The sequence below is a fragment of the Homo sapiens genome, chromosome 15, assembly GCF_000001405.40.
Source record: "Homo sapiens chromosome 15, GRCh38.p14 Primary Assembly".
In the NCBI taxonomy this organism is placed as follows: Eukaryota; Metazoa; Chordata; class Mammalia; order Primates; family Hominidae; genus Homo; species Homo sapiens.
The window spans coordinates 78585289-78593004 of NC_000015.10; the positions used below are offsets into that span (position 1 = coordinate 78585289).

Genomic DNA, 7716 nt, shown 5'->3' on the forward strand with positions numbered 1-7716 from the left:
CAGTACTCATTCTCCCCATGCAGGGACCTCATGGAGCTGCCTGCATCCTCAGGGGTATGCTTCCTTCTGGTCTCTTCCTTTGTCCTGGGTCACTTACCTGTTGTTGGGACGGGATAAGGAATGGGTCACCTCCAGTTACCTGAGGTATTAATATTTATTTACACCCCTGTCCTATCTCCCCAGTTTCCTCATACTTCTGTGAGTCTCTGTGCATAGCATTGTGTCCTACACATAATATATTTGCGGCTGGTGATTATGGATCTTTTGTTGATTCTCCTGGCTCCATGATATTTCACTAAAATTTAATGGAAGAAGTATTACTTTAATTACACCTTGAATATTTGGTAAAGGACTGGCATAGCAAAGACATGATAGCAGAGAGGTGTAAGTGAGAAGTACCAAGGACCTCCAGTTCTCTACAAAAGTAGGCACGAAAAGCTTTATGAAATTCGTATTCAAGGCTGCCAATATTTTTTCTTTTTCTTTTTCTTTTCTTTTCTTTCTTTTTTTTTTTGAGATGGAGTCTCGCTGTGTTGCCCAGGCTGTAGTGCAGTGGCATGATCTTGGCTCACTGCAACCTCTGCCTCCCGGGTTCAAGCAATTCTTGTGCCTCCGCCTCCTGAATAGCTGGGATTACATGCATGTGCCACCATGCCTGGCTAATTTTTTGTATTTTTTTTTTTTAAGTGGAGATGGGGTTTCACTATGTTGGCCAGGCTGGTCTCAAACTCCTGCCCTCAAGTGATCTGCCCACCTTGGCCTCCCAAAGTGTTGGTATTATAGGCATAAGCCACTGCGCCCAGCCCTCAATGTTGTTTCTGTCTAGCAGACCTACAGGGAAATTCAGATTCTTCCCTCAGCAGAGGCAAATGACTGTAAGAGATGTCCCTCAGGGATGTACAGAAATACCGTATCTCACTGATTCTAAGAAGCACACTTTTCCGCATTTTAATACTTCTGAAATCATGATGTGTCTTATAATTCATGGCAGCTTGTAATTCATTGACAGCCCTTTTTTCTCCTCTTAGTGCTAAGCACATAAAATAACACTATGCTTATATCTTAGACTGCATCTTAAATATGAGGAAATATAGTAGTTGAGATGATTAATGTTAAATGCAAAAATGCCAAAGGTATCTTTTAGTGTAGTTTATCTGAAATAGAGAGTATGTTGAAAGGAGTAATGTGAAATTAGGCTGGAAGAAAGATCCTAGCTTTCTAGAGAACCAGATTGATGAATGAAATGTGGGTACTATGTGAAGAAGAGTGTTTATATAACAATGTGAAATTTATTATTTAAAGAATTATTGTTTCTGTAATTGAAATCAATCTTATTTAAATTTTTATTTTTTAAAGGATGAGAAAAATCAGTTAATGACAACAAACGTCTGGTTGAAACAGGTATGTGTGTAAAATTCAAACGGGCACCCAATTAGTGACTGGGACACCTATTTTTATTATATGTATTGTAGCAGAAATACAAGAGTATGTATATTTGTGAATACAAATGAATACGTGACTATATGGCCTTGGTGGATTGGCAGGACACAGAAAGATGAGGGTAGATGGAGTTCTTGTATTTATTCAGCTAGTATTTTTGGAGTGCCTATTGTGTGCCAGACACTGTTATGGGGAAACAGCAGTGAACAAAACAGACAAAAAACCCTGTAGTATTAGTCCGTTCTCACACTGCTATAAGGACATACCCAAGGCTGGGTAATTTATAAAGGGAAGAGGTTTAATGGATTCACAGTTCAGCATGACTGGGGAGGCTTCACAATGATGGTGGAAAGTGAAGGAGAGGCAAAGGCATGTCTTACATGGCAGCAGGCAAGAGAGCATGTTCAGGGGAACTGCCCTTTATAAAACCATCAATTCAAGATGAGATTTGGGTGGGGACACAGCCAAACCACATCACCTGCCCTCATGGAACTTCATTCTAGTGGGGGAAAAATAAACAAGTTGTATAGTACCTTAGAAGCTGATAAGCTTGGGGAAAAACACACTGGAAAAGAAGATAGGGAGTATTGGGGTCGGGGGTGTACTTATAAAAATGGTGGTCAGAGAAAACAGCATTGAGAAGATAATGTCTGAACAAAGTCTTGGTGGAGAGGAAGCAAGCCATGTGTATATCTGGGGAGGAGCGTTCCAGGCAGCAGGACCTACAAGTGCAAAGGTTTCTGAGCTGGTGTGTGCCTAGTGTGTTTAAGCAGTTGCAAGGAGGCCAGTGTGGCTAGCAGTGAGAGAACCATTGGGGAGAGGGGGTGTAGGAGATGGCATCAGATAAGCAAGAAGAGGCTGGTGGAGTAGCAGCTGCTTATAGGCCACTGCAAGGATTCTGACTCTCTAAGGTGGAAATGGGCAAGAATGAAATGAATTTTTTTTTAATAGATAGTCCCTTTTATATAAAGGACTTTTGTTTTTTTCTGGGCCACCATACATATGTCCTAACTGCTGTTGAGCGCTTCCTTTTGTTTTTATCATCCCTAATTTTTATACCTACTATTTGTTTTCTAACCCCGAACTCCTGAAAGGCATATATGCTTTTCTCAGGGTGCAGCTCCTAACTTGATCACAGAATTGTAACTGCATGGAGGTAGGGTAAGGTGTTGAAATACGCAGAATGTGCAATAAATCCAACTCCCTTTTGCATGGACCAGAACAGCCAAATTGGGTGACAATACATCTGGAAAAAAGAATGTTTCCCTTGAACCTGGATATTAAGTGCCTGTGGCTTCAAGTCCTGGATATAGTCAGTCAGTTGATGGGAGAAGAGTTGCCGAGCAGAGCCATGAACACATCTAGCTCTGGTTCTCACCTGTGTCTCACAGGGACCATGGTGAGAACCACTACACAAGGGGACAGGGTTATCTGGTGCCCATAATAAGAAAGACAGGGAGGTGTTCTCTATTGGGGGTAGAGATGATCTCATGTCTAAAATTTCTGGTGTGACAAAAAAGTATGGTATTCACTGTTTTTGACTATTAGTTTTATTGAAATTGAGGCAGATTTCTTTGTTTTAAAGGAATGGATAGATGTAAAATTAAGATGGAACCCTGATGACTATGGTGGAATAAAAGTTATACGTGTTCCTTCAGACTCTGTCTGGACACCAGACATCGTTTTGTTTGATAAGTAAGTTATATTCTAAATATAGTTTTATATTTTCAAAAGAAAACATTTGTATTTCTATTAGGCACTAATAATTTTTCTCCCTTTTGAAATTGTTTAGGTATAAAAATCAAATGACATGACCGCATGTGCCTGGGTATGATTACATGTTTTATAGATGAGGAAACAGAGGCTTAGGGTGGTTGTTCTTTTCCAAGATCACAGAGCTAGCACATGGCAGAGTAGGGGGGTCACACCAAGGGGACTGATACCTCCATTTACTCTTTGTTTTACTAGACTACATATTTGGCAGACTTCTAGATTTTTTTGTATGTTTTTTACGTCGTTGAGGTCATATTTTATGTTGAATTGTGCATCCTTCTAGTTGTGTTTAAATACTGTATCGTCATTTTCCCACAATGAGGAATGCTGGGTTAATTATCAATTCATCTTTAGAGGCATCCTACCTAGGTGTGTTTTGAGGATTTTTTTTTTTTTAACTTAGGGGAGAGGAAAATTCTGGGTACCAGTTTTATTTTTTTCTAAGACCACTCCTGGGCAAATCTGGGAATTTGTGCTTATCTTAAAGCACTTTGTCTGATTCGAAAGAAGGCCATTTGGCATGAGGACAGAGCAACTGCTATGCAAAAATATCTTTAATCTTTTGACACTTTTTACCTCCATGCTTCTTAAGAAGTGAACAAAGCTTGTAAGGACACATGATGCAGCTTCCTGGAGCATCATTTTATTTTCAGTAATTGAAAACATTTTTATATTAAACATGGATATATTACAGAATAGTGTGCAAAAGCCACATGAATTTGAAGACAGCAACATTTTAAAGAAATCTTATGTTGGTGGTGTGCTTTCCTAGTATATGGATTCTATACTAGACTTTTCTCATATATGAATTCACTTGGTGGGAGAGCTTGAGAGGCATAGCTGCTTTTCAGGGTCATGCCCAGCTTGGTGTTCATGGTCTTTCCCCATCAAAGTAAAAAACGGCCAGTATTTGCGATGAAGGAAGAAGAGCACTGTGGAGGGAGTCTAGGAGTGTGGATTCAGGTTCTGGCTGTATGCGTGCCCATTGTGTCAATAGCCTGAGTCTATTCTGTGTGTAAGGTGAGGTCTTTTCAATCATTAGAATCTCAGGCTTCTGTGAAAATTTGTCAGTTCTGGAGTAGATGCAGAAGAAGGGGTTCAGTTCTAGTAGAGTTAGATATTTAAGGAAGATATTCCTGGAGCAGGGTCCCTATGTAGCACGTATATCTTATCTGAAGTATAGTAATTTAAAAATTATTTCATGCAATCAATGATAGGCCTGCTTTTATATTAGGCTTATATTAATACAATTCATGTGCATTGTTTAATTTCTGCATTGTTATTTTATATGTGTGTATTTTAGTGCAGATGGACGTTTTGAAGGGACCAGTACGAAAACAGTCATCAGGTACAATGGCACTGTCACCTGGACTCCACCGGCAAACTACAAAAGTTCCTGTACCATAGATGTCACGTTTTTCCCATTTGACCTTCAGAACTGTTCCATGAAATTTGGTTCTTGGACTTATGATGGATCACAGGTTGATATAATTCTAGAGGACCAAGATGTAGACAAGAGAGATTTTTTTGATAATGGAGAATGGGAGATTGTGAGTGCAACAGGGAGCAAAGGAAACAGAACCGACAGCTGTTGCTGGTATCCGTATGTCACTTACTCATTTGTAATCAAGCGCCTGCCTCTCTTTTATACCTTGTTCCTTATAATACCCTGTATTGGGCTCTCATTTTTAACTGTACTTGTCTTCTATCTTCCTTCAAATGAAGGTGAAAAGATTTGTCTCTGCACTTCAGTACTTGTGTCTTTGACTGTCTTCCTTCTGGTTATTGAAGAGATCATACCATCATCTTCAAAAGTCATACCTCTAATTGGAGAGTATCTGGTATTTACCATGATTTTTGTGACACTGTCAATTATGGTAACCGTCTTCGCTATCAACATTCATCATCGTTCTTCCTCAACACATAATGCCATGGCGCCTTTGGTCCGCAAGATATTTCTTCACACGCTTCCCAAACTGCTTTGCATGAGAAGTCATGTAGACAGGTACTTCACTCAGAAAGAGGAAACTGAGAGTGGTAGTGGACCAAAATCTTCTAGAAACACATTGGAAGCTGCGCTCGATTCTATTCGCTACATTACAAGACACATCATGAAGGAAAATGATGTCCGTGAGGTCTGTGATGTGTATTTACAAATGCAGATCTTCTTCCATTTTAAGTTCAGAAGTTACTTTCATTAATTTTGGCAGAGTAAACAGCATGACCCTTAAGTAAGACTAAGCATAGATTGAGGGCCAGAATTGTTGACATATTTTCTATAAAAGATCTTTACTAAGGCTTGTTTCAGTTAAAGCACCTGCAAAATGGGGCATTTACACAAATCTCACTTCTCCACTTCCCCCATCAGCATCTTGGATAACTCTAAAGAAAATTTAGTGTTATATTCTAAGGAATAATCCTGCCATATTTCTTGGCTCTGACCTGATGAATTGTTTTAATTTCTTGGGGTGAGGGCAGTGGGTGAACTGTTTTAATTTTGTCTTCAGTAACTTTGTTTCTAAATTGTGATAATCTGTAGGCAGAACTCCATTATAACAGTTAATGGAGTTATCAAAAGTTCTTTTAGGCTGGGCGCAGTGGCTTCATGCCTGTAATCCCACCACTTTGGGAGGCCGAGGTGGGTGGATCATTTGAGGTCAGGAGTTTGAGATCAGCCTGGTCAACATGGTGAAACTCCATTTCTACTAAAAATACAAAAATTAGCTGGGCATGGTGGCACATGCCTATAGTCACAGCTACTCGGGAGGCTGGGGCAGGAGAATCACTTGAACCCAGGAGGCGGAGATTGCAGTGAGCCGAGATCACGCCATTGCACTCCAGCCTGGGCGACCGAGCAAGACTCCGTCTCAAAAAAAAAAAAAAAAAAAAAGTTCTTTTAAAGAATGAGCCTAATGTGGAATTTATAAGTATAAAATTCAGTCTTGTCACTGTTATTTCTTCTATTGTGTATTATTTTAAACCTATGACTATAGTAATATTTTCATAATTGAATGTACATTAAAATTATGTGAATTATAATCTGTAAAGCTATTTTAAATGGAAAATTTCCATCAGGTATGAGGAGACAGAATAAATCTGGCAAAATCACAGCCTTTATCCCAAAAGGGACATTTGATGTATATATTTTTAAAACTTTTTTTCATATGTTAATGATTTAATTTCAATAAGACTTTCCTTCCTTATTTTATTGTATTTCAATAGGTTTTTGGGGAACATGTGTTTGGTCACATGCATAAGTTCTTTCATGCTGATTTCTGAGACTTTGGTGCACCCATCATAAAAACTTCTAATGCTTGTGGGTTTGTGAAGTATCTATTTGGTGGTAGCATAATGAAATTAGTTTATAAGGTTTGGAGCTATCATTGGAGTTTTTAAAAGTACATAGATTTGTTAGGTAATGGTTTAGACTGAGATGGAATTTAATAAATGTCTGCAAAGTATTGTGCAAAAGGGTCATGGCTCATACTACTAGGACCAAGGAGGTTGGTTTTATTTTCAGATAAAAACAGAGGCAGAGGTGGCCAGGTGCGGTGGCTCACGCCTGTAATCCCAGCACTTTGGGAGGCTGAGGCAGGTGGATCACGAGGTCAGGAGTTTGAGACCAGCCTGGCCAATATGGTGAAACACTGTCTCTCCTAAAAATAGAAAAATTAGCTGGGCATGGTGGTGTGTGCCTGTAGTCCCAGCCACCTGGGAGGCTGAGGCAGAAGAATCACTTAAACTTGGGAGGCAGAGGTTGCAGTGAGCCGAGGTCACGCCACTGCACTCCAGCCTGGGGGACGGAGCAAGGCTCTGTCTCAAAATAAAATAAGCAGAGAAGTAACAGGGTTTACAATGCCCTAAATTCTAAATTATCCTACACTTTGGAGGCACAGTTCCCATAGAGGACACCATCCTTCATAGAGGTTCAGGGCCAGGGAAGCCCCTGGTCAAGGAAATGGCCTTGTAGAAAGGGGAGCCCCTGCTGCTTAGTGGCTGGGCTCATCCTTCTTTTTCCTTGTGGTGGCTCCGAGCTGCTGAGCCAGCTCCCTACTAAAGCTGGCTCCAGGGAAGACTGTTCTGTGCTCATGAAATTAGACTGAAGTGGTCCCTAGGAAATCCAAAAATAAATAAAGTGTGTATGTGAGGAAGATGAACAGCTTTCTAACATGTATTATTCTGAACCAACTTTTAATTTGGCATGAAATTAATCTCAGGCTAGAGTCTCTCAAAATATTAAAATAAGTAAACACTACTGGGCAAGAATAAGTATATATAGTAAGAATAATTTTTTTTAGTTTATTGTAAAATATCCAAGTCTATTTTAATTTTTAATCTATCAAAATAAACCACTTGTAATATAAGTTGATGTGTAAATGAACATATTTTGTAGTGTCTTTTAAAGCTTATATCTATAGTAGACCTTCAGGCTAGTGTCTGTCCCTGAGCTGAGTATAGGGTCACTTACCGTTTAGAGGCAGCAATGGGAGGCAGAAATCGATT

General features: G+C 39.6%; 1 protein-coding gene across 7 annotated transcripts in view; it reads left to right on the forward strand.

The window, feature by feature from the left end:
- Positions 1 to 7716, forward strand: part of CHRNA5 (cholinergic receptor nicotinic alpha 5 subunit) — a 29750-nt gene that overhangs the window by 19769 nt on the left and 2265 nt on the right. For 2 of the 7 annotated variants that reach the window (NM_001307945.2, NM_001395175.1), the window contains exons 3-5: positions 1357 to 1401; positions 3026 to 3135; positions 4517 to 4561. In NM_001307945.2, coding sequence (NP_001294874.1) covers positions 1357 to 1401; positions 3026 to 3135; positions 4517 to 4561 — 200 coding nt within the window. Of the gene's footprint in view, positions 1 to 1356; positions 1402 to 3025; positions 3136 to 4516; positions 5349 to 7716 lie in introns of all 7 variants that reach the window. The other 5 variants (NM_000745.4, NM_001395171.1, NM_001395173.1 and 2 more) reach the window with 5 other exon arrangements.